The sequence below is a fragment of the Homo sapiens genome, chromosome 19, assembly GCF_000001405.40.
Source record: "Homo sapiens chromosome 19, GRCh38.p14 Primary Assembly".
Taxonomy (NCBI): domain Eukaryota; kingdom Metazoa; phylum Chordata; class Mammalia; order Primates; family Hominidae; genus Homo; species Homo sapiens.
In genome coordinates, this window is record NC_000019.10 from 46,766,882 (window position 1) to 46,791,524 (window position 24,643).

Consider the following 24,643-nt stretch of genomic DNA (forward strand, 5'->3'; position numbering starts at 1 on the left):
CGGAAGAGGTTGGGGCTCAGGAGTCCCGGCGTGAAGGCAATTGCAATAGTTCAGGTGGGAGATGATGGCAGCTGGCCAGGGTGGTACCCAGTGTGGAAGGTGTAGAGGGGCCAGATTTGGGGTTTGAGGGCAGAGAAACTGAGATTTCTGGTAGCTTGAATGTGGGATATGACGGGCAGAAGGAGGGCGTAGCAGGGGAAGGAAATAAAGTGGCTTGTTCTGTATGTGACTGGAGCCCAGCTCCTTGCACCAACCCGGGCTCCTGCACCCCTCAGCAGGCCCAGGGATCCCCACCGCCAGGCCGGAGCCAACCCCATGGAACCCAAAGTGCTCAAGCTCCCCAGTGAATGAGGCTCTTAATGTATCACCGCCCGTCAGGCCTGGCCTGGCATCCGGGTTTCTCCACCTGCGGGGTGCAGGGGCCACATTGGTGGGTTCCAGATTCCAAGTTCCAGTATTTGGAGGAGGTGGCAGAGGAGGGCCCCCACCCCACCGTTTTCATCTTTCACCCAAGATTTGCACAGGTTTCATTTTAATGACAGTCCACTGTCTGTTTGTTAGTTAGCTTTGAGATAGAGTCTCACTCTGTTGCCCAGGCTGGAGTGCGGTGGCAAGATCTCAGCTCACTGCAACCTCCGCCTCCTGGGCTCAAGCGATTCTCCCACCTCAGGCTCCTGAGTAGCTGAAACTACAAATGTCCAGATAATTTTTTACATTTTTAGTAGAGACGGGGTTCCACTATGTTGGCCAAGCTGGTCTCAAACTACTAACCTGAGATGATCCACCTGCTTCGGCCTCCCAAAGTGCTGGGATTACAGGCATGAGCCACTGCGCCCAGCCACCCAGCCACTGGTTTTAAAAAATGTTTGACACTGGGCACAGTGGCTCATGCCTGTAATCCCAGCACCTTGGGAGGCTGAGGTGGGTGGATCACCTGAGGTCAGGAGTTGGAGACCATCCTGGCCAACATGGTGAAACCCCATCTCTACTAAAAAAAAAAATACAAAAATTAGCCGGGCGTGGTGGCAGGCACCTGTAATCCCAGCTATTCGGGAGGCTGAGGCAGGAGAATCGCTTGAACCCGGGAAGTGGAGGTTGCAGTGAGCTGAGATCACATCATTGCACTCCAGCCTGGGGGACAAGAGCGAGACTTCATCTCAAAAAAAAAAAAAAAAAAAAAGCAGTGGCTGGGTGCAGTGGTGCATGCCTGTAATCCCAACACTTTGGCCTGGGAGTTCCAGACCAGCCTGGGCAACATAGTGAGATCCCTTGTTTACAAAACAAAACAAAACAAAAACAAAAACCTTTTCTAATTAAAAATAGCTGGGCATGGCCAGGCACAGTGGTGGCTCACTCCTGTAATCCCAGCACTTTGGGAGGCTGAGGCAAATCACCTGCGGTCGGGATTTCGGGACCAGCCTGGCCAACATGACAAAACCCCGTCTCTACAAAAAATACAAAAATTAGCCAGGCCTGGTGGCAGGTGCCTGTGTGGGGAAAAGAAAAAGAGAGATCAGACTGTTACTGTGTCTATGTAGAAAAGCAAGATATAAGAAACTCCATTTTGATCTGTACTAAGAAAAAATTGTTTCTGCTTTGAGATGCTGTTAACCTGTAACTTTAGCCACAACCCTGTGCTCACAGAAACATGTGCTGTAAGGAATCAAAGTTTAATGGATTTAGGGCTGTGCAGGATGTGCCTTGTTAACAATATGTTTGCAGGCAGTATGCTTGGTAAAAGTCATCGCCATTCTCCATTCTCTATTAACCAGGGGCACAATGCACTGCAGAAAGCCGCAGGGACGTCTGCCCAAGAAAGCCTGGGTATTGTCCAGGGTTTCCCCCGACTGAGACAGCCTGGGATATGGCCTCATGGGAAGGGAAAGACCTGACTGTCCCTCAGCCTGACACCTGTAAAGGGTCTGTGCTGAGGAGGAGTAGTGAGAGAGGGAGGCCTCTTTGCAGTTGAGATAAGAGGAAGGCTTCTGTCTCCTGCTCGTCCCTGGGAATGGAATGTCTCGATGTAAAGCTGACCATTCCCATTCGTTCTATTCTGAGCTAGGACAAAACCTCCCTGTGGCTGGAGGCGAGATATGCTGGCAGCAATACTGCTCTGTTGCCCTTTGCTACACTGAGATGTTTGGGTAAAGAGAAACATAAATCTAGCCTACTGCACATCCAGGCACAGTACCTTTCCTTGAACTTACTCATGATACAGATTCCTTTGCTCACATGTTTCCCTGCTGACCTTCTCCTCACCTGTTGCCCTGCTACACTCCCCTCGCTAAGATAGTAAAAATAATGATCAATAAATACTGAGGGAACTCAGAGGCTGGCGCCAGTACAGGTCCTCCGTATGCTGAGCGCCGGTCCCCTGGGCCCACTGTTCTCTCTCTATACTTTGTCTCTGTGTCTTATTTCTTTTCTCAGTCTCTCGTCCCACCTGACGAGAAATACCCATAGGTGTGGAGGGGCTGGTCCCCTTCATGCCTGTAATCCCAGTTACCGAGGAGGCTGAGGCAGGAGGATTGCTTGAATCTGGGAGGCAGAGATTGCAGTGAGCTGAGATCATGCCACTGCACTCCACCCTGGGGACAGAGTAAGATTCTGTCTTAAAAAAAAAATAGCTGGGCATGGTGGTGCATGCCTGTGGTCCTAGCTACTCGGGAGGCTGAGGTGGGAGGATCGATTGAGCTCAGGAGTCTGAGGCTACAGTGAGACATAATCACACCACTACATTCCAGCCTGCGAGACAGAGCAAGGTCTCAAATCTTTAAAAATATTTTTTTTTTTTAGAAAAAGTTTGAGCCAGGCGCAATGGTTCACACTTGTAATCCCAACAGTTTCGGAGGCTGAGGCAGGCGAATCACCTGAGGTCGGGAGTTCAAGCCCAGGCTGGCCAACATAGTGAAACCCCATCTCTACTAAAAATACAAAAACTTAGCTGGGCATGTTGGCACACACCTGTAATCCCAGCTACTTGGGAGGCTGAGACAGGAGAATTGCTTGAACCTGGGAGGTGGAGGTTGCAGTGAGCTGAGATTGTGCCATTGCACTCCAGCCTGGGCAATAGAGCAAGACTGTCACACACACAAAAAAAATAGAATAGAAAAAAAATGAGTAAGTAACGTTTGGTAAAGCTTGTTTCATGAACATGTTTTTCTTTATACACATAGGTTGTTTATGAAATATGTAGGTAGGTTTATAGCTCCATAAACAGGCATCCCTCAGAATATAAACCTAATCTATTCCCAAAAAAGTAGTATATAGAAACTTTGGGGATAAACCACTATTTATTTATTTATTTATTTTTTTGAGACGAAGTTTCGCTCCTGTTTCCCAGGCTGGAGTATAATGGCATGATCTCAGCTCACTGCAGCCTCTGTCTCCCGGGTTCAAGCGATTCTCATGCCTCAGCCTACCAAGTAGCTGAGATTACACGTGCACGGCACTAACCCAGATAATTTTTGTATTTTTAGTAGAAACAGGGTTTTACCACGTTGGCCAGGCTGGCCTCAAATTCGTGACTCCAGGTGATCCATCCGCTTCACCTCCCAAAGTGCTGGGATTACAGGAATGAGCCACCTGCCCAGCTTTAATTTATTTCTTTATTTGAGACGGAGTGTTGCTCTGTCGCCAGGCTGGAGTGCAGTGGCGTGATCTCGGCTCACTGCAACCTCCACTTCCCAGGTTCAATTGATTCTTCTGCCTCAGCCTCCTGAGTAGCTGGGACTACAGGCGCTTTCCACTACGCCCGGCTGATTTTTGTATTTTTACATCCATGTTGGCCAGGATGGTCTCCATCTCTTGACATTGTGATCCACCCGCCTCAGCCTCCCAAAGTGCTGGGATTACAGGCATGAGCCACTGCACCCAGCCCCGGCTTTTATTTTAAGCAGAGAAAATAATGCACTCCCAGCTTCATCCAAAAACGCTAAACAATTTCCTAGAATATCAATAAAAGACTCTTAAACACCTACATAACAGCCTACCACGGATTATGGCATAGTAGAAAGCATTTAAAATACCAATTGCCTAATTATTCAACACTTAAACTCATGAATGATTATGTTTGTGTACAATACAAAAGTATTCTGCACAGAATCAGATATAAATTATATTTTCCTTCCGCAGTGCAATGATCATGGGGTATAACTAAACAAACAAACAAACAAAAAGATACTAAAGATACCGTCTATAATTGGACCCAGGTCAGTGGTGCCTCCAGGCACCTGGCCAAAGTCAACACAGGGGGTTTGGAAGCGGAAGATAATATCAACAATGGCTAACACATTCAACGCACAAAACAGAATCCTGTTAGAACAGGTGAGAAGTAGGGCTGGGTGCAGTGGCTCAGACCTGTAATTCTAGCACTTTGGGAAGCCAAAGTGGGAGGATCACTTGAGTCCAGGAGTTTGAGACCAGTCTGGGCAACATAGTGAGACCCCGTCTCTACAAATAAAAATTAGCGGCCGGGCGTGGTGGCTCATGCCTGTAATCCCAGCACTTTGGGAGGCCAAAGCAGGCAGATCACCTGAGGTCGGGAGTTTGAGGCCAGCCTGACCAACATGGAGAAATCCTGTGTCTACTAAAAATACAAAATTAGCCTGGCATGGTGGCTCATGCCTGTAATTCCAGCTACTCAGGAGGGTGAGGCAGGAGAATCACTTGAACCCGGGAGGCAGAGGTTGCGGTGAGCCAAGATCGCGCCATTGCACTCCAGCCTGGGTGACAAGAGCAAAACTCCGTCTCAAAATAATGATAATAATAATAATAATATTTAGTTGGGTGTGGTGGTGTGCACCTGTAGTTCCAGCCACTCAGGATGCTGAGGCAGGAAAACTGCTAAGGTCCGGGAAGTTGAGGCTGCAGTAAGCCATGATAGCACCACTGCACTCAGCTTGAGCAACAGAGACCCTGTCTCAAAAGAACAGGTGAGATACAACAGCAGCATAGTACTTTTTTCTGGGGGGGGGGCGGTGAGACAGAGTCTCACTCTATCGCCCAGGCTGGAGTGCAGTGGCATGATTTCCAGTCACTGCAACCTCTGCCTCCCGGGTTCAAGCGATTCTCCTGCCTCAGCCTCCCAAGTAGCTAGGATTACAGGTGCCCACCACCACACCCAGCTAATTTTTGTATTTTTAGTAGAGATGAGGTTTCCCCATATGGGTCAGGCTGGTCTCGAACCCCTGACCTCAGGTGACCTACCCGCCTCAGTCTCCCAAAGTGCTCGGATTATAGGTGTGAGCCACCGCGCCCGGCCAGCATAGTCCATATTCTGAACTTACACAGGATGTAAAACAGTTGCAGAGTGGGTTTTTATCCAAATAGCTATTTTGGGGTTTCAAGGAAATAAAATAATTCTTGGGACAATTTGGATAGTGAGAGTTGGGATATGAAGGGATGCTGCATTCCTAAGTAGGTGGTCACAAAGGAAAATAAATTGTTACCATGCGTTGTGCAGATTTTTGTTGTTGTTGCTCTTGAGAGAGTCTTGCTCTGTTGCCCAGGTTCGAGTGCAGTGGCGCAATCTTGGCTCACTGCAACCTCCACTTCTTGGGTTCAAGCGATTCTCCTTGTGCAGATTTTTTTAAGAGATAGGGTCTCAATCTGTTGCTCAGGCTGGAGTGCAGTCACATAATCATAGCTCACTGCAGCCTTGAACCCTTGAGCTCAAGTGATTCTCTCGCCGCCTCAGCCTCTTGAGTAGTGGAAACTCCAGATACGTACCAACCACCACACCCAGATTGTAGAAAAAATTTAACTGGAAGGCACACAGGGCAAAATGCATGTGATTTGTGTACAGGTTCGTTAACTTTCCCAAATGCATCCATCTGTGGAATCATCACCCAAATCAAGGTAAGATATTTGCTTTATCATAGAAGGTTCTTTTGTGCTCCCTTCTGATCAATATGCTATTTTTTTTTTCTTTTGAGATGGAGTCTTGCTCTGTCACCCAGGCTGGAGTGCAGTGGCACAATCTCGGCTCACTGCAAGCTCCGCCCCCTGGGTTCACCACATTCTCCTGCCTCAGCCTCCAGAGTAGCTAGGATTACAGGCGCCCGCCACCATGCCCTGCTAATTTTTTGTATTTTTAGTAGAGATGGGGTTTCACCATATTAGCCAGGATGGTCTCGATCTCCTGACCTCATGATCCGCCCACCTCGGCCTCCCAAAGTGCTAGGATTACAGGCATGAAGCCACCGTGCCTGGCCCCATATTCATTCTCAAAGGTCACCACTGTTCTGATTTCCCACCATAGGCCAGTTGAGCATGTTCTAGCCCTCCTCTAAATGGAACTATACAGTATTTACCGTCTCTGGCTTCTTTATCTCAACAAATTATCTGAAATGCATTTCTGTTGCAGTGTAGGTCGATATCGCTCTTATTTATTGCTGAGTAATCTTCCATTGTATGAATGTACCAGTGTATCCAATTGATTTGTTCCCAAATTTTGGCAATGATGAGTACAGCAGCTAAACGTTTGTGGACACATTTTTGTAAAAGCAAAAGTTTTCACTTCTCTTGGGTAAATACCCAGGAGTGCAACTCCTAAGCTGCATAGTAAATAAATATATATTATATATATATATATTTTTTTTTTTTTTTGAGACAGAGTTTTGCTTTTGTCACCCAGACTGGAGTGCAATGGTGAGATCTTGGCTCACTGCAACATTCTGCCTCCTGGGTTCAAGCGATTCTCCTGCCTCAGCCTCCCAAGTAGCTGGGACTACAGGCATGTGCCACCACGCCCGGCTAATTTTTGTATTTTTAGTGGAGACGGGGTTTCACCATGTTGGCCAGGCTGGTCTCGAACTCCTGACCTCAGGTGATCCATCCACCTCGGCCTCCCAAAGTGTTGGGATTACAGGCGTGAGCCACTGCACCCAGCCTGTATTTTTTAACTTTATTAAGAAACTGCCCAGTTATTTTCCAAAACAACTCAGCCATCTACTAAGGGAGCACCAACCAAGAGATGAGGAGTCCTGTTGTATCCCATCCTCCCTTGGTCTTGTATTCAGCCATTCTACTGTGTATAGTGGTGTCTCATTGTGGTTTCCCGTGGTGTTTAAGAGACAGGGTCTGGCTGGGCGTGGTGGCTCACGCCTGTAATACCAGCACTTTGGGAGGCCAAGGTGGGTGGATCACTTGAGGCACCGGTCTCTACTAAAAATACAAAAATTAGCTGGGCATGGTGGCAGATACCTGTAGTCCCAGCTACTTCGGAGGCTGAGGCAGGAGAATCGCTTGAACCTGGGAGGCGGAGGTTGCAGTGAGCCAAGATCGTGCCACTGCACTGCACTCCAGCCCAGACAACAGAGCCAGACTCCGTTTCAAAAAAAAAAAAAAAAAAAAGCGACAGGGTCTCACTCTGTTGCCCAGGCTGGAGTGCAGTGGCATGATCATGGGTCACTGCATCCTTAAACTCCTGGGCTCAAGGAATCCTCCCCACCGCAGACTTCTGAGTAGCTGGGACTGCAGGTGTGCACCACTGCACCTGCCTAATTTTTTGTGTTGTTTTTGAGACAGAGTTTTGCTCTTTCACCCGGGCTAGAGTGCAGTGGTGCGATCTCGGCTCACTGCAACCTCTGCCTCCCGGGTTCAAGCAATTCTCCTACCTCAGCCTCCTGAGTAGCTGGGACTACAGGCGCCCACCACCATGTCTGGCTAATTTTTATATTTTTAGTAGAGACAGGGTTTCACCATGTTGGCCAGGCTGATCTTGAACTCCTGACCTCGTGATTCGCCCGCCTCGGCCTCCCAAAGTGCTGGGATTACAGGTGTGAGCCACCGTGCTCGGCCTTAATTTTTGTATTTTTTTGTAGAGACGATGTCTCACTATGTTGCCCAGGCTTGTCTTGAACTCCTGGCCTGGAGTGATCTCAAAGTGCTGGGATTACAGGTGTGAGCCCCCATGCCCAGCCCAGTGGTGTTTCTTGATGAGCAGATACTGTCATTGCAGTGGCCAGTGCTTTAAGTCAAATTCTCAAGAACACCTGATTAAATAGTTGACACTCAATTTTATTGCTAAAAAAAATGTCCTCTGGAGTGACAGCAGGTATTTGTCCTCAGCCTCTCCCCAGAGTCCCTGGGAGTGTTTCTGTTATTGTGGAGGGAATAGGGGATCTGGGGACAGGGTGGGACGTACCATGGGGACAGGAGGTCACAGAACACACACACACACACACACACACACACACACACACACGTGCACACACACATCCCCCCACAACTACAGCCGCCAAAATAACCAGCATGGTGTTGTAACATCCCCCCAGTGGGGGCTAGAATTCCCCATGGTGACCTGTGACCTGCTCCCTGAGACAGGGGAGGCCAGGCAGGTCACGGTGGGGACGCAGCAGAACATTATTTCTCCATCTTGCTGTTTTCTAGCCTTGAGTTGGGGACATGAGTGAGAACTGGGGGTTTTGAGGAGTAACCCTTGTGAACACATGTACTCCAGCAGCCAGGCATCCCAGATCTCCTGTCCTGGAGGGTGCTGGGGCCCCTGGCTCCCCAGAGTGTGCAGGCAGACCCCCAGAGCCCTAGCTCATCCATTTATCCATTCCTCATAATCCAGTGTCCAAAGAGCACCCCCAGCAGGGCAGGGAAGGTCCCTCCCGGGGTTTACATGACTGATTCCTTCTCAGAGGCGACCGTGGCATCCCCTGCGGGCCCCCGATAGTGTTTGAGGAGGGGGTTTCCTTCCTCAGTGGGGACTGGCAGCGGATCCAGGGGCAGCTCACTCTTCACTTGTATCAACTCAGGCTCTGTGCTTCTCGACTCCGTACGGTCCACGTAATTTTGGAGGAGTCCTGCCCCCAGAGCGTCACCTTCTACATTGAGGACGGTACAGGACCGGTCGCTAAAGGGGTAGAAATGACAGCAAAGTAAGCGGGAGGGGAGAGGGTGAGAGGGAAGGAAAGGGCCAAGGCCTAAGCCTCCTGCCTCTCTCCCCCTGGAATCTAAAAAGTAAAAATTAAGAGTTGGAGTCAGCCTGGGCAACATAGTGAGATCCCATCTTTATATATATTTAAAAAAAAAAAAAATTAGCCAGGCATGGTAGTGCACACCTATAGTCCCAGCTACTCAGGAGGCTGGGGCAGGAGGATCGCTGGAGCCTGGGAGGTGGAGGCTGCAGTGATCACAACCATGATCACATCACTACACTCCAGCCTGGGTGACAGAGCCAGACTGTGTCTCGAAAAAAAATTATAATTCACCTACCATAAAATTAACCTTTTAAAAGTGTCCATCTTGGTATTTTTTAGTATATTCAGACTTGTGCAACCATTGCCAATAATTAATTCCAGAATTTTTTTTTTTTTTTTTTTTTGAGACAGGATCTCACTCTGTTGCCCAGGCTGGAGTGCAGTGGCACAATCTCGGCTCACTGCAACCTCCACCTCCCAAGTTCAAGCGATTCTCCTGCCTCAGCCTCCTGAGTAGCTGAGATCACAGGACAGGCGTACACCACCATACCCGGCTAATTTTTTTGTATTTTTAGTGGAGATGGGGTTTCACCATGTTGGTCAGGCTTGTCTCAAACTCCTAACCTCAAATAATCCACCTGCCTGGGCCTCCCAAAATGTTGGGATTACAGGTGTGAGCCACCGTGCCTGGCTGCTTTCCAATCTTTATACTCTTAATAGCTTAATCGTGATAGCAAATAATTATGTAGCAATTACTGCTTACTGGGGGCTGCTCTAAGGGAGGTGTGTCTGTTATCTAATCCTTAGGGAGAGACTGTTCTTCTCCCCGTTTTACAGATGGAGAAACTGAGACGCAGGAAGATTAAGCACTTCCCGAGGTCACAACAGTGAATGTTGGAGCTGGGATGTGAACCTGAGCAGTCTGGCTGAAGAGTCTGCTGTATTCACCACACAGACGCTCTACTTTTCTGACATCCCTCTTAGAGCCACAAAGATGCCATTCCTTGCCCTCAGGAATGCTCAAGGTTCCCCCCATTTCCTCCAGAATTCCTTCCTTCTTCTCTTCCTCTTCTGTCCAGAGGCTCTAAGGACTCTCACTCACTCATCCTCTTTCCCAGGGGTACCCCTGGCCCTGCCCCAGTCTCCAGACCCACACTCACACTAGCCAGTCCACAGCCAGGATCAAGGAGATATGGTCGACCGGGAGGTTGACTGCTTCGAGGATGATGGCCAGAGTGAGGACACCTCCAGCAGGGATGCCCGCTGCCCCCACGCTGGACGCTGTGGCCGTGACCCTGAGGGAGAAGGTGGGAGGTTAGGCAGATGCCTGTCTTGTGGGAGAAGATGGGGGTCAACAGGGGTCCGGGGGTCCCATCCGCAGCCCCCTGACACTCACAGGATGGTGATGATCTTTACGAAGTCCAAGGACTGCTGGCTGAGCTGTGCAATGAACACTGCGGCCACGCACTGGAAGAGCGCGGCACCGTCCATGTTGACGGTGGCGCCGATGGGCAGGATGAAACGGCTGATGTGCTTGGCCACGCCATTATTCTCCTCCACGCACTTCATCATCAGCGGCAGCGTGGCGGAACTGCAAGGGATGGGGGAGCTGAGTTAGGTTAACCTGCTGACCGGGGCTCCGCCCACCCTCCAGGTCCAGCCCAGGTGAGGCCTCGCCTACCCCACCCCAACCAGCCAAAGCCCCACCCACCCCACCCAGTGGATCCCCACCAGAGCCTGCCTAAGCAAAGCCCTGTCACCCAACCACCCTCCAGGTCTGACCTGCACCACCCACCCAGTTGAAGCCCCGCCCACCCAGAGCCCACCCACACCACCTGCCCAGCCAAAGCCCCGCCCACCCAGATCCCGCCCATACCACTTGCCCAGCCAAAGCCCCGCCCACCAGATCCTGCCCATACCACCTGCCCAGCCGAAGTCCCACCCACGTCCCCAGTCTGTCCCTTGGCCCAAGGCCCCCACATCTAACCTAGACCCCCCTTCCCTCCTACCATGTCCTGACTCCACCCCCAGCCCTCACTTGCTATATCTAAGCTCTTTTCCCACAAGCAGGCAGCACTAGGGAACTCAATACCAGGATTACAAAATCCATGAGTCCTGGAACCCCTGGGAGAGTATAGACTACTACCTCCCAAAATACCCACACAATTCACACCTAAATTCTACTGTCTGGGTCCTGCTGACTCTCACCAATAATACACTAAGAATTACTATTGTCTTGGGAGGGGACAGGGCCAGCAGGGATGAATGAAATGCCCAGGAGAGACGGTGGAAGGAGTTCTGAGGTTGAATCAGAGCAGAACTTAAGAGCCCCCCAGGGGCATGGCAGCTCACACCTATAATCCCAGCACTTTTGGAGGCCAAGGTGGGCGGATCACTTGAGGCCAGGAGTTTGAGACCAGCCTGGCCAACATGGCGAAACCCCGTCTCTACTAAAAACACAAAAATTAGCTGGGTATGGTGGGGGACACTTGCAGTCCCAGCTACTCGGGAGGCTGAGGCAGAGAATCACTTGAACCCAGGAGGCAGAGGTTGCAGTGAGCTGAGATCACACCACTACACTCCAGCCTGGGCAACAGAGCGAGACGCCATTGTTTAAAACAAAAGAAAAAAAAGAGTGCCTCCAGGGCCACGGGGAGGCAGTGTAAGAAAGAGGGAAATAAATCTCTAGGGCAATCATTTCCTATCTTTTTAAGGGTGGGGATAAATCCAGGACCTTATGAGAATCTCCTGAAGTATGGCCCCTGTACCCAGATACAATGTCCCGGGCAGAGAAAATTTCATCCGCTCCATGCCGCTTAGCGGATTAAACATCCCACCCTAGCCCACCCCAAGGCCGTACCTGGAAGAGGTCCCAAAGGCAGTGGCCAGCGGCGTCACGATGCCCCACAGGAAGCGGTAGGGGTTTTTGCGGGTGAAGAGGAAGTAGATGAGGGGCAGTACCAGGAGCCCATGGATGGCGTGACCCAGCAGGCAGCACAGAATGTACTTGCCAAGGCGGGCAAAGAGTAAACCCACATCCTCCATCTCCACGATCTTGCCAGCCACCAGGAACATGATGCCCACAGGGGCGTACCTGATCAGTAACACAGGAGACAGCTTGTTGCCTCTTCCACGGGCCCAGTGGCCAGGCGTGAGGCTCAGCACCCTACCCACATCTTCCTGCCTTCCTGAGGTCAGGAGAAGCCCCAGCAATGTGTGCTTCAGCATGGGCACCACTCCCAGGCCTGGCCCCTGAAGCCCCCATGCCAATCTCATGCTCTCTTTCCCCTCAAAGGTAGAGCAGCCCGGAGATAAAACTCTCCGTGCAGGCCGGGCACGGTGGCTCATGCCTGTAATCCCAGCACTTTGGGAGGCTGAGGTGGGTGGATCACCTGAGGTCGGGAGTTCAAGACCAGCCTGACCAACATGGAGAAACCCCGTCTCTACTAAAAATACAAAATTAACCAGGCGTGGTGGCGCATGCCTGCAATCCCAGCTACTTGGGAGGCTCAGGCAGGAGAATTGCTTGAATCAGGGAGGCAGAGGTTGCTGTGAGCCAAGATCATGCCATTGCACTCCAGCCTGGGCAACAAGAGTGAAACTCCATCTCAAAAAAAAAAAAAAAAAAAAAGTCTCAGTGCTTCCATCACCATGTGAAGCAGTCACCAGATTTGGACTTCACATGGGAGACAGAAAGAAATGTCCATCAAGGTGCGCCATTCACACTTCCTGGGTTGGTTTGCTATGGCAGCTAGCATGACTTGAGCCAATACGCTCTCTGCAGATGATGAAAGATAAAGAGGCTGGGCACAGTGGCTCATGCCTATAATCCCAGCACTTTAGGAGGTGAAAGCAGGAGGATTACTTGAGGCCAGGAGTTCTCGAGACCAGCTTGGGCAACACAGCGAGACCCAGTCTCTACAAAAAATAAAAATAGGCCAGGCACGGTGGCTCATACCTGTAATCCCAGCATGCAGGGAGGTGAAGGCAGACAGATCGCTTGAGCCCAGGAGTTCAAGACCAGCCTGGGCAACATGTCTCTCTTTTTTTTTTTTTGAGATGGAGTCTCACTCTGTTGCCCAGGCTGGAGTGCAGTGGCATGATCTCGGCTCACTGCACCCTCCGCCTCCCAGGTTCAAGCGATTCTCCTGCCTCAGCCTCCCAAGTAGCTGGGACTATAGGCGCGTGCTACCACGCCCAGCTAATTTTTTGTATTTTTAGTAGAGACAGGGTTTTTCTGTGTTAGCCAGGATGGTCTCGATCTCCTGACCTCGTGATCTGCCTGCCTCAGCCTCCCAAAGTGCTGGGATTATAGGCATGAGCCTCCGTACTGGGCCACCCAGTTTCTTAAACAACAACAACAAAAAAAATGAGCTAGGCTTTGTGGCTGGGGTCTGTAGTCCCAGCCACTTAGGAGGTTGAGGTGGGAGGATCACCTGAACCCAGGAGGTCCGGGCTGCAGTGAGCTGTGATCATGCCACACTGCACTCCAACCTAGGCAACAGAGCGAGATCCTAGTTCAAAAAACGTTTTTTTAAATTACTATTATTATTATTATTTAGACAGTCTCGTTCTGTTGCCCAGGCTGGAGTGTACTGTTGCAATCTTGGCTCACTACAACCTTTGCCTCCCAGGTTCAAGCGATTTTCATGCCTCAGCCTCCTGAGTAGTAGCTAGGATTAAAGGTGTACACCACCATTCCCAGCTAATATTTGTATTTTTTTGTAGAGAGGGTTTTTCGCCATGTTGACCAGGCTAGTCTCTAACTCCTGGCCTCAAGCAATCCTCCCCCCTCAGCCTCCCAAAGTGCTGGGATTACAGGTGTGAGGTACCACAACCAGCCAAAACACACATTTTTAAAATAAAAATTTGAAGGCCAGGAGCGGTGGCTCACACCTGTAATCCCAGCACTTTGGGAGGCCGAAGAGGGCGGATCGCTTGAGGTCAGGAGTTTGAGACCAGCCTGGCCAACATGGCAAAACCCTGTCTCTACTAAAAATACAAAAATTAGCTGGGTATGGTGGTTCGTGCCTTTGGTCCCAGCTGCTCAGGAGGCTGAGGCAGGAGAATCACTTGAACATGGGAGGCAGACATTGCAGTGAGCTGAGACTGTGCCACTGCACCTCCAGCCTGGGCGACAGAGCAAGACTCTGTCTCTAAATAAATAAATAAATAAAATAAATACAAATTTTAGAAAGACCATGGCCTGGGTCTTAATAACAACTCCCAGGTATGAAGCATTTGCGATGTGCTCTGCCCTTGAACATGATGTTGAATCTTCCCAGCAACCCCCGGAGGGAGGTCCTATGAGTCAGATTGCAGATTACACAACACCCAATAGATTCCTCACGGGAATGCTGGGAGGATGCAATGAGATGCCAGTTGAAAGGAGCTAAAGCTTTTTACAGACAATAAGTGATCTGTAAACTTCAGGTGGGTTTATTATCACCCTCTCCTGCTGTGAAGATCCCAGGGATGGCTCCAAGCCAAGAGGACTCCCAAGTCCGGGCGCGGTGGCTCACGCCTGTAATCCCAGCACTTCGGGAGGCCGAGGTGGGCGGATCACCTGAGGTCGGGAGTTTGAGACCAGCCTGACCAACATGGAGAAACCCCGTCTCTACTAAAAATACAAAATTAGCCGGGCATGGTGGCGCATGCCTGTAATCCCAGCTACTCGGGAGACTGAAGCAGGAGAATCTCTTGAACCCGGGAGGCGGAGTTTGCAGTGAGCTGAGATCACGTCATTGCACTCCAGCCTGGGCAACAAGAACGAAACTCCATCTCAAAAAAATAAAATAAAATAAAAGCCTCCCAACATCACTTCCCTAGACTACTCGATCATCGGTCGCCCATCCATCATCACTGACTAGTTATCTCCCCAGTCCCTTCTTGTAAGTCACAGAAGAAAGGCATATTTTCCCAGCCACTTGTGCAGAGAAGGGAGGCTAGATACCCAAGTTCTGGCCAGTGGGAAGTATCCAGAAGTTATACAAGCAAAAAGCCCAATAAATATTAGCTACTAGGATTTACTGTAGGCACGCAATAAGCCAGGCACTGTCCTAAGACCTTCCGTGTACCGTATTCACTTTCTTTTCTTTTCTTCTTGAGACAGAGTTTCCCTCTGTCGCCCAGGCAGTGGCATGATCTCCGCTTACTGCAACTTCCGCCTCCCAGGCTTAAGTGATTCTCATACCTCAGGTTCCCGAGTAACTGGGATTACAGGTGCGTGTCCCCATGCCTGGCTAATTTTTTCGTATTTTTAGTAGAGATGGGGTTTCACCATGTTGGCCAGGCTGGTTTTGAACTCCTGATCTCAAGTGATCCACCCACCTCCTCCCAAAGTGCCGTTCCCATTTTATAGATGAGGAAACTGAAGCAGAGAAGGAAAATCACTTGCCTAAAATCACATAGACAGGGAATGGTCAATGCTGGATTTAAATGCAGGTCATCTGGCTCCAAAGAGTGAATAGAGGGTGCCCCATCCCAAACAGAATGCCCCGCACCTGCCTCTGGCAGCAGACCGACCCTCCAACCCCACCCACCCCCAGCCTCCTCTCCCACCACCTACCACATGATCCAGGAGACCAGAACCATGGTGGCCTCATTGAAGGAGTTGAAGAAGCGGATAAGCAGCTCCCCTTCAGGCCCCAGCTTCCGCAGCGCCACACCAAAGACGATGGCAAACACTACCAAGCCCAGGATGTTCATCCCCTCCACCTCCTGCCCCACGGGCACCTGTGGGCAAGGAACAGATCGGGGTGGAAAGGACACTCAGTCTACCTGCACAGTCACTGAGGGCCTGTCCTTGGCACCACTGGGACCCAGCAGAGACAAGGCAGCCCTCAGACCCCTTCCTCCCAAGGCTCCCAGTCCAGGTCCAGGGGAAATATATTAGTCGTCAGGGATGGCCCAGAGTAGGTGGGGCTGGAATAAGGGAGTCCAGGGGAGTGTGGGAACCAAGAGAGGGCAGTGCCAGCTTGGGGAGTAGGGGGCAGTCAGGGGGGACTTCCTGGAGGAAGGAGCATCTGAGCTGAGACCTGGAGGACAAGAGGAGTGAACCAGGTAAAGAAGGGTGGTAGAAAGATCTACAGAGAGGAAGCAGAATGTGCAACAGCCTAGAAATGAGTGCAACTTGGGCATTCAAAGAAGAGCCATAATCTACTGTGGCTAGAGTAGAATAATCTGGGCAGGGTCACTAGTTAAGGATGGGCAGCCAGGCGGGCTGGCAGGGGTTTGACCTCACAGGGAGCCCTTGGTCATAGACTGTAGCAAGGAGACTGGACTTTCTCCTGAAGGCACTGAGGCACATGGCAGGGCTCTGGGTACTGCAGAGATAGGGTCACATTTGTGTTTTGAAAAGATCCTCGGGCGGAGCACGGTGGCTCACGCCTGTAATCACAGCACTTTGGGAGGCTAAGGTGGGCAGATCACCTGAGGTGGGGAGTTCCAGACCACACTGACCAACATGGAGAAACCCCATCTCTACTAAAAATACAAAATTAGCCGGGCATGGTGGCACATGCCTGTAATCCCAGCTACTCAGGAGGCTGAGGCAAGAGAATAATCACTTGAACCCGGGAGGCGGAGGTTGCAGTGAACCGAGATCACGCCATTGCATTCCAGCCTGGACAACAAGTACAAAATTCTGTCTCAAAAAAAAAAAAAAAAAAGAAAGAAAGAAAAGAAAAGATACTCAGGGCCAGGAGCAGTGCCTCACGCCTGTAATCCCAGCACTTTGCGAGGCGGCCAAGGTGGGCAGATCACTTGAGCCCGAGAGTGCAAGACCAGCCTGGGCAACATGGCAAAACTCAGTCTCTATAAAAGATACAGAAATTAGCCAGGTGTGTTATAGTCACAGCTACTGGGAAGGCTGAGGTGAGAAGGATCACTTGAGCCCAGGAGGTGGAGACTGCAGTGAGCTGTGATCGTGCCACCGTACTCCAGCCTGAATGATGGAGAGAGATCCTGTGTCAGAAAAACAACAACAAAAACCTCTGGCTGGCTGCCAGTTTGAGCAGGTTGAGGGTGGATGGAAGGGGGCAGGGAGAGGGCAGCATGGAATGGGGTTGGGGGGTGAGGGAGAAAGGAAGAGCCTGGGCACCTGGGGTGGGAAAAGAGGGGACAAAGTAGAGACCTATCCAGAAGGCAGAAAAGACAGAAATTGGGGAAGGACTGCAGAGTGTCAATCAAATTCCACAGCAAAGACTAAGGCAGAAATAAAACCAAAAAATTATAGCAATAGGCAAAGAGGTAGAGCCCCCGCTGCCTCCCACTGCTCTCACCTTCACCCTGGTTCCGGTGATATTCCTCTCTTCATAGGTGGTAGAGTACTGTAGGTGGGGTTGGGAAGAGTCAGTGTCCATCGTTACCAGGGCCTCCCAACCCCATGCCAAGCTAACAATGCTCAAAGCCTGCCCTTCCACATCCTTTCAATGTGATCTCATTTCATCTGCTGGCAACCCCATGGGGCAGGATGATCAATACCCCCATTTTCCAGAGGTGGAAAACCGAGGCTCAGAGAGGTAAACACATTTACCCAGAGTCACACAGCTAGAATTAAAACTCACAGGAGGCTCTGAGCCCGTATTCTCATTGACATGCATTTTTCCAGGAACTAACCAAAATCAGGTAGCAAGGGCTCCCCCTGGCTGGCATCCCTCCCTGTCCACCCCCATCCCCTCAGGACACCCCTGAGGACTCACTGAGCGAAAGGCTGCTGACACCAGGTTGGAAGGGAAGATATTTCTGCAGAGACAGACACACAGAGGGTTATTAGATACCATAGTGGGAGGGCAGCATTGTCTGAGAGGCTGGGTTGGCGTTTTAAGGCAGCGAGTGGAAGCTTTGGGGGCCCGCCTGCACGCAAATACAGCCCCTACTCATGCCTCAGCCCGGCAGGGTTGGAACTAGGCTTGCACCCCTTTGCAGGACTTGGGGAGTCAGCCTCCTTCAGCCCCAAGAGGCTGGCGTGCTAGCCCTGAGGCATTGTGGGTTCGGGGTGAGGAATGCTGGCCTCCCACGGCAGGCCAGGGCAGGTCGCCCCGGGCCTCAGCTCCACCCCATGCAGCAAACTTAATACCCTGGACAGCTTGCATCAGCCACTTCCTCCTGGAGGGCCTGCCAGCGGCTCTGAGAGTATGGGGGAGGATCTGGGTGTGTTGGGAGGCGGTGGCGGGGAGGGAGAAAAGGGACGGCTTCATATCTCATGAATATGCATCTGTGTTTACAAGGCTACCCTTACTCTTGTGTGACAGTGTCTGCCTTAAGATGAAAATAGTAGCTAAGGCCAAGGCGCCATGGCTCTTGCCTGGAATCCCAGCACTTTGGGAGGCCAAGGCAGACAGATCGCTTGAGCCAGGAGTTGAAGACCAACCTGGGCAACATGACGAAACCGTGTCTCTACAAAAAATACAAAAATTAGCCAGGCATGGTGGCATGTGCCTGTAGTTCCAGCTACTCTGGAGGCTGAGGTGGGAGGATCACTCAAGCCCGAGGAGGTTGAGGCTGCAGTGAACCAAGATCAAGCCACTGCATTCCAGCCTGGGACCGAGTGAGACTCTCTCAAAAAATATATATAGCAGCTAAGCCATCTACAGCACCTACCGTGTGGCAGGCAGGCATTTTGGCCTGTGCTTGACACAAATTAACCCATTTCATCCTCACGACAGCCTTGGGGATAATCACTATTACCCCATTTTACAGAAAAGGAAGCTGAGGCCCAGAAGGGTAAAGAAAATTGCCCAGCTGGGAAATAGCAGAGCTGGGATTTGAACCCAGCCAGCTGGCTCCATAGCCCCAAGCACTCCACATGCTCCCTCTCACCAATGACTGGTGTACAGCCAACGCCATGTGCCCATATACAATCTGTCAAATGTTAATAGTTTGGGTGCAGGTTAAGGTTCAGTAGTATGGGACAGTGTCCATGGATGGCCACCCATGCATCACGGTACAGTAAAATAACGTCATGGTAGAGGAATGAGTTTGGCCGGGTGCGGTGGCTCACGCCAGTAATTCCAGCCTTTTGGGAGGCTGAGGTGGGCAGATAACTTGAGGTCAGGGGTTCGAGACCAGCCTGGCCAACATGGCAAAACCCCGTCTCTACTAAAAACACAAAAATTATCCAGGCGTGGTGGCACACGGAAGGCTGAGGCACGAGAATCACTTAAATCCAGGAGGTAGAGGTTGCAATGAGCCAAGATCGCACCACTGCACTCCAGCCTGAGCAACAGAGACTGTCTCAAAAAAAAAAAAAAAAAGCATGAGTTTATTGGTGTGTGACCACATAGGTGTGTATGTGAGTGTGTATTGTGTGCTCTTGAGCCTGTGTTTAGATGTTGGCGTGGCTGGTGGCATCACTGAATGGCTGTGCTACAGGGGTCTTAGTACACAGTGAGCGTGTGTATGACCGCTGGTATCTGGCCATGTGTTTGTCGAGATGCTACAGCCTCAGCTGAGTGTCTGCGTGAATGTGTCCAGCTGTATGTCATTTGGTTATAAGCCTGTGTGGCAGGCCAAGTGTGAGCTACAGCTGTTTTGGCACGCAGGGGAGGCCTGTGCTCATAAACAGCCTCGGAGTGGGTGTGCCTGCCTGAAGGTCCGCCTGTACCACCCAGGCCCAGGCTGGGCCAGGACCCAGCTAATCTCCCCCAGCCAGAAGGTGCTCCCAGGCTTCAACTCGGGACACCAAGCCTGCCCCAGTCTCGCATCTCAGCCTGCACTGACGCCCCAGAGGCTGGAGAACCCTGTTCCGTGACTCATCATTTCCTTCCCCCAACTTCCAGGAAGTCCCCAACGTGGAGACACTGAATGAGCAAGCCCTAAAGGCAAGCGCAAGGGGGCCTCTGCCCCCCGCCCTCCTCAAAGTGGGGGAGGCCATTCTTGGGGGCGCGGGGCAGAGGCCAGGAGAAGGAAAAGAATCTGCTCCCCTTTCTAACTGGTCCTCTTCTGGGCTGCCTGCTAGGGGGTGGCCCAGACAGAGGAGGAAACGGGAGGGAAAGGCAGGGGTGGCAGGGCTGATCTAAAAGATAAAGGGGAAGCGGCCAGACCCCAGCTGAAATGGGCGGGAAGCGGAGGCCAAAAACAGAGCCTGGTTATGTCCGAGTGACACGTGGTGTGGGGGTGCCCCAGGGCTGGGAAGAGGGCCTGGTGGGAGTTACTCAGATCTCAGATCCTCCAGGGGCTCCTTACCCAAACTCTCCAACCCTGGCCCCAAATTATATCTAGAAGCCCCATCTTGGGGCCCTTGACCACGCAAAGATTCCCCCCGCAAAAGTTCCTCCTGGGGTCCCCTCCCCTCAGTGTCTTTCTCCCCTAGGCAGACCCTCCTATGTCTCCCCAAATCACTTTCTTCTCCCTCTATAAGACCCCACTTATGTACCCAGGCCCCCAGATTTAGAAACCCCTTCCCCAGGAGACTAGACTCACACTCCCGAGGGCTGGAGCCTCCCCTCAATATCCTGTCGAGTTTTCCTAAGACTCTAGAGGGAAGTCTCTGCTCCAGGGGCCCCAAAGCCCCGTCCTGTCCACGTGACCACTCCCGCCATCCGTAACACTCTTCCCCACCTCCCGGGGGAGCGGGAGCTGACCTCGCAAGATCCAGGAACGAATCGAGCACCTCCTTGCTGGGGGCATTTTCGGCACTGCCCGCGGCTCCCACGGAGGCGTTGATGGCGGCGGAGGCGGCGCCCGGCTGCAGAGCCAGCGCCAAGCCCACTCCGAGCGCCGACGCCAGCAGCGTGGTGACCAGGAAAAAGAGCAGCGCCCAGGCGCCCAGACGGCCGAGCGCGCCGGGGTCCAGGCTGGCGGCGCCGCCGATCAAGCTGCACACCACCAGCGGCAAGATGATCATCCGCAGCAGACGCAGCAGCAGCTCGCCCGGGAAGACGAAGGCGCTCAAGCGCTCCGGGCCCAACGCCAGCGCACCCCCGGCCCCCGACACCCCCAGTCCCAGCGCCACGCCGGCCACCACGGCCACCACTGTCAGCAGCACAAGCAGGTTGGCTCGAAGGCAGCGGCGCACCTGGTCCCGGGAACCGCAGTAGCCGCCTGCTGCCGCGCCTTGGTCCTCGATGGAGGCCAGCGCCAGGCCCCCGTTGGCGGTGGGCTCCGCCGCTGCGAGCCCCTTGGAGTCTCGAGGAGGATCGGCCACCATGATGGGAAGCACCGGGGTTTCTTAGCGCCTGGAAGCTGGCTGGGAGCGCTTGGGCTCCTTCCCAGGACCCGACGTTCCTAGGACTGAGTTGAGTAACAGCACCTGGAGACTGGAACTTTGGAGGGCTCCTTAGAGTTGTGAGTTCACAGCACTGAAGTTCCTTGGCTCTTGGAAGCTGGAGTGTTTAAATTCCCCAGGCTGGGCGCTGAGGCTTCTCTGCTCTGCCCCGTGTGCCAGATGTCCGAAAGCTGGGAGTTCGGAGCGCCCGGGTTCCTTGGCCCTAGGAGCTGGGAATACGAGAGTTTCTCTGGGTGGGACGTGGGGCCCTTGGCTCCAGGAGGTTGAGTGCCCCCAGATGGCGGAGGTCTGCAGGAGGCTAGGTTCTGGTGGCGCAGATCCCGGACGCCTGGATCCGGGAGGCGGGGACCCGGGCTGCCTGGGTCTTGGACACTGAGGGCTGGGATGCCAGAATCTGGGGGCCGGGAAGCGGACCTCCGGAAACAGGGGACCCAGGCTCTTAGGTCCGGGAGGGTGGGATGCGGGCCCCTGTGTACGGAAGGCGGTGGTCTGGTGTCCGGGAGTAGCGGTTACCAGCCAGAGAAAGCCTCCCGGGCGTGCCGCGTGGCTCTGAGCCCGTTTAGCGGAAGCTGCCAGGGATAAGGGTAGGGGGCGGGGCTTGAGAAGGCGGGGACCGACCCTCGGGCGCCGATTGGCTGCAGAGCGTTCGGAGACTGGACGAGTAGGGGCGGGGCTGATACCCGAGATGGGCCAGGTCCCCCATAGAAGGCAGATTAATAATACCCATCTCCAGGAGCCGGGCCCAGAGACGACGGGGCGGGGCCAGGAAGGGGCGGGGCCTTGGGAGGGTGCTGTTTCCCGCCAAAGGAACTGGGTTGTGGGTTGGAGCCCTTAAACCACAGGGGTTCGTTCCCTGGTGCGAGGGTCGCTAGAAAGCTCCGGTGGTCCTCGGTGATTCATTTGCAACTCAACTCAGCTTTGGAACTCCTCAGCCCTGAGTTTGGTCTTTAGTCGCCTCTGAGAACTTTAATTCCTCGAATATAAAGTGCAGGTGTTAAAAGCTTTTGTCTCATATGATTGCTGTAAGATTTAAATAAAATTGATGTATTTATTTAGGGAGCCGTGGCTCAAGCCTGTAATCCCACCACTTTGGGAGGTGAAGCGGGCGGATCACTTGAGGTCAGGAGGTCGAGACCAGCCTGGCCAACATGGTGAAACCCGTCTCTACTAAAAATACAAAAATTACCTGGTGTGGTGGCACGTGCCTGTAATCCCAGCTACTGGAAGCCTGAGGCAGGAGAATCGCTTGAACCCCAGAGGCAGAGGAAGTCATTCACCTTGAGGCCACACCTAGAGAGGATGACACGTGCATGCCCACCTCCCAAGCCCCTAACCGCACCCACTCTGCTGCCTCCCCAAATTCTCTGTTAGTGGCCGTTTGGGAGGTTAACAATGAATTATGATTCCTTACTCCACCTGACAGTGTTGAAATCCTCATTCCTTTCCCATCTCTAGCCTGTTCTGTGACATTTCAGGCTTTCATGCTTGCTCAAAGATTGTAGTGGTAATGTCAGAAGCTTCCTCCTACAGCAGCTGTGAGGCCTCAGGTAATTTACAACCTCTATGAGGCTCAGTCTTCATATGTGTAAATGGGAATAATAATAAGTCATACCGCCTTGAGTGTTGCAAGGGTTCAAATGAGATAATACGGCCGGGCGCAGTGGCTCACGCCTGTTATCCCACCACTTTGGGAGTTGATGCGGGCAGATCACTTGAGGTCAGGAGTTCCAGACGAGCCTGGCCAACATGGCAAAACCCTGTCTCTGCTGAAAATGCAAAAATTAGCTGGGTGTGGTGGCACATGCCTGTAATCCCAGCTACTCAGGAGGCTGAGGCAGAAGAATTGCTTGAATCCAGGAGGCAGAGGTTGCGAAGAGCCGAGATCTCACCACTGCACTCCAGCCTGGGTGACAGAGTGAGACTCCACCTCAAAAAAAAAAAAGTTATTTATTTGTGCTTTAAAATTTTTTGTTCTTTCTCTCTTCTTTTGTTTCTAACAAAAATGCCCTTCAGAAGAAAGTCAAATACTACTGCTGCGATTGCTGTTATTGTTATTATTACTGAAGAACAAGCTGGATTCAGTGGCATGCACCTGTAGTCCCAGGTATTTGGGAGGCTAAAGCAGGAGGATCCCTTGAGGCCAGGAGTTCAAGGCTGCAGTGAGCTATGATCGTGCCCACATTTAGCCACTAGACTCCATCCGGGGCAACATAGTGAGACCTTATCTTTAAAAACATGAAAATAGGCCAGGCATGGTGGCTCATGTCTGTAATCTCAGCACTTTGGGAGGCCAGAGTGGGCAGATCATGAGGTCAGGAGATCGAGACCATCCTGGCCAATATGGTGAAACTCTGTCTCTACTAAAAATACAAAAATTAGTTGGGCATGGTGGCATGCACTTGTAGTCCCAGCTACTCAGGAGGCTGAGGCAGGAGAATCGCTTGAACCCGGGAGGTGGAGGTTGCAGTGAGCCAAGATCACACCTCTGCACTCCAGCCTAGTGACAGAGTGAGACTCCGTCTCAAAATAAATAAATAAATATTTTAAAAAATTTTTCGGCCGGGCATGGTGGCTCACGCCTGTAATCCCAGCACTTTGGGAGGCCGAGGCGGGTGGATCACAAGGTCAGGAGATCGAGACCATCCTGGCTAACACGGTGAAACCCCGTCTCTACTAAAAATACAAAAAATCAGCCAGGCATGATGGCGGGCGCCTGTAGTCCCAGCTACTCGGGAGGCTGAGGCAGGAGAATGGTGTGAACCCGGGAGGCGGAGCTTGCAGTGAGCCGAGATCACGCCACTGCACTCCAGCCTGGGCGACAGAGCGAGACTCCGTCTCAAAAAAAAAAAAAAAAAAAATTTCACAGTGGCTTACACCCTTAATCCCAGCACTTTGGGAGGCCAAGGTGGGAGGCTCACTTGAGCCCAGGAATTTGAGACCAGCCTGGGCAACATGGCGAGACTCCGTCTCTACAAAAAAATTAAAAAATAAGCTGAGTGTGGTGGTATGCGCCAATAGTCCCAGCTACTTAGGAGGGTGAGGCGGGAGGATCGCTTGAGCCAGGAGGTCAAGGCTACAGTGAGCTGTAATCTCACCACTGCACTCCAGCTTAGGTGACAGAGCAAGACTCAGTCTAAAGGGAAAAAAGATTTAGGCTGGGAGCGGTGGCTCACGCCTGTAATCCCATCACTATGGGAGGCCAAGGCAGGTGGATCACTTGAGGTCAGGAGTTCAAGACCAGCCTGGCCAACATGGTGAAACCCCATCTCTACTAAAAATACAAAAACATGAAAATAGGCCAGGCACAGTGTCTCATGCCTGTAATCCCAGCACTTTGGGAGGCCTAAGTGGGCAGATCATGAGGTCAGGAGATGGAGACCATCCTGGCCAATATGGTGAAACCCTGTCTCTACTAAAAATACAAAAATTAGTTGGGCGTGGTGGCGGGCGGCTGTAGTCCCAGCTACTTGGGAGGCTGAGG

At 52.0% G+C, this 24,643-nt stretch overlaps 1 protein-coding gene across 3 annotated transcripts, besides 12 other annotated features; it reads right to left on the minus strand.

Moving 5' to 3' along the window:
- On the minus strand, positions 8,002-21,713 carry SLC1A5 (solute carrier family 1 member 5). Of its 3 annotated transcripts, none has more exons than NM_005628.3 (8): positions 20,519-21,713; positions 17,636-17,678; positions 17,216-17,263; positions 15,502-15,668; positions 11,794-12,027; positions 10,330-10,524; positions 10,094-10,228; positions 8,002-8,866 (listed from the first exon to the last, which is right to left on the minus strand). In NM_005628.3, the coding sequence occupies exons 1-8, from the start codon at positions 21,082-21,084 to the stop codon at positions 8,629-8,631; spliced, it is 1,626 nt and encodes a 541-aa protein (NP_005619.1). In that variant the 5' UTR covers positions 21,085-21,713; the 3' UTR covers positions 8,002-8,628. The 3 variants fall into 3 exon arrangements, with proteins under 3 accessions (NP_005619.1, NP_001138616.1, NP_001138617.1); NM_001145144.2 differs by lacking the exon at positions 20,519-21,713 and adding an exon at positions 20,358-20,412; NM_001145145.2 differs by lacking the exons at positions 17,636-17,678; positions 20,519-21,713 and adding an exon at positions 17,714-17,933.
- Positions 17,087-18,286: an enhancer, noted in NCBI's record as "MED14-independent group 3 enhancer chr19:47287225-47288424 (GRCh37/hg19 assembly coordinates)". NCBI's record gives its function as "activates an origin of replication core promoter dependent on BRD2, BRD4, P300/CBP and CDK7 cofactors, and independent of MED14, by STARR-seq in HCT116 cells {active_cell/tissue: HCT116}" and the evidence as "EXISTENCE:reporter gene assay evidence [ECO:0000049][PMID:35650434]".
- Positions 17,087-18,370: a biological region, named in NCBI's record as "MED14-independent group 3 enhancer GRCh37_chr19:47287225-47288424".
- Positions 17,769-18,370: an enhancer, noted in NCBI's record as "OCT4-NANOG-H3K27ac-H3K4me1 hESC enhancer chr19:47287907-47288508 (GRCh37/hg19 assembly coordinates)". NCBI's record gives its function as "activates a minimal SCP1, AML or CMV promoter by ChIP-STARR-seq in naive and primed H9 embryonic stem cells {active_cell/tissue: H9 hESC(naive and primed)}" and the evidence as "EXISTENCE:reporter gene assay evidence [ECO:0000049][PMID:30033119]".
- Positions 17,787-18,126: an enhancer, noted in NCBI's record as "active region_14848". NCBI's record gives its function as "activates an Ori minimal core promoter by ATAC-STARR-seq in GM12878 lymphoblastoid cells {active_cell/tissue: GM12878}" and the evidence as "EXISTENCE:reporter gene assay evidence [ECO:0000049][PMID:35858748]".
- Positions 18,371-18,972: an enhancer, noted in NCBI's record as "OCT4-NANOG-H3K27ac-H3K4me1 hESC enhancer chr19:47288509-47289110 (GRCh37/hg19 assembly coordinates)". NCBI's record gives its function as "activates a minimal SCP1, AML or CMV promoter by ChIP-STARR-seq in primed H9 embryonic stem cells {active_cell/tissue: H9 hESC(primed)}" and the evidence as "EXISTENCE:reporter gene assay evidence [ECO:0000049][PMID:30033119]".
- Positions 18,973-19,574: an enhancer, noted in NCBI's record as "H3K27ac hESC enhancer chr19:47289111-47289712 (GRCh37/hg19 assembly coordinates)". NCBI's record gives its function as "activates a minimal SCP1, AML or CMV promoter by ChIP-STARR-seq in naive H9 embryonic stem cells {active_cell/tissue: H9 hESC(naive)}" and the evidence as "EXISTENCE:reporter gene assay evidence [ECO:0000049][PMID:30033119]".
- Positions 20,791-20,840: a silencer, noted in NCBI's record as "silent region_10830". NCBI's record gives its function as "represses an Ori minimal core promoter by ATAC-STARR-seq in GM12878 lymphoblastoid cells {active_cell/tissue: GM12878}" and the evidence as "EXISTENCE:reporter gene assay evidence [ECO:0000049][PMID:35858748]".
- Positions 20,851-20,900: a silencer, noted in NCBI's record as "silent region_10831". NCBI's record gives its function as "represses an Ori minimal core promoter by ATAC-STARR-seq in GM12878 lymphoblastoid cells {active_cell/tissue: GM12878}" and the evidence as "EXISTENCE:reporter gene assay evidence [ECO:0000049][PMID:35858748]".
- Positions 21,381-21,982: an enhancer, noted in NCBI's record as "NANOG-H3K27ac-H3K4me1 hESC enhancer chr19:47291519-47292120 (GRCh37/hg19 assembly coordinates)". NCBI's record gives its function as "activates a minimal SCP1, AML or CMV promoter by ChIP-STARR-seq in naive H9 embryonic stem cells {active_cell/tissue: H9 hESC(naive)}" and the evidence as "EXISTENCE:reporter gene assay evidence [ECO:0000049][PMID:30033119]".
- Positions 21,381-22,030: a biological region, named in NCBI's record as "NANOG-H3K27ac-H3K4me1 hESC enhancer GRCh37_chr19:47291519-47292120".
- Positions 21,631-21,925: an enhancer, noted in NCBI's record as "tiled region #93; K562 Activating DNase unmatched - State 1:Tss, and HepG2 Activating DNase unmatched - State 1:Tss". NCBI's record gives its function as "activates a minimal TATA promoter and a strong SV40 promoter by Sharpr-MPRA in K562 cells, with weak activation in HepG2 cells {active_cell/tissue: HepG2 | K562}" and the evidence as "EXISTENCE:reporter gene assay evidence [ECO:0000049][PMID:27701403]".
- Positions 21,871-22,030: a silencer, noted in NCBI's record as "silent region_10832". NCBI's record gives its function as "represses an Ori minimal core promoter by ATAC-STARR-seq in GM12878 lymphoblastoid cells {active_cell/tissue: GM12878}" and the evidence as "EXISTENCE:reporter gene assay evidence [ECO:0000049][PMID:35858748]".

What these genes read in the sequence shown, in the direction of transcription:
- SLC1A5 (NM_005628.3), bottom strand. Translation starts at nt 21,084, where the DNA reads ATGGTGGCCGATCCTCCTCGAGACTCCAAGGGGCTCGCAGCGGCGGAG. An exon ending in TCGTTCCTGGATCTTGCGAG is followed by an intron (nt 17,679 to 20,518) that starts GTCAGCTCCCGC and finishes CTGTCTCTGCAG; the next exon opens with AAATATCTTCCCTTCCAACC. An exon ending in CTGGCTGTGGACTGGCTAGT is followed by an intron (nt 8,867 to 10,093) that starts GTGAGTGTGGGT and finishes CTACCCCTTTAG; the next exon opens with CGACCGGTCCTGTACCGTCC.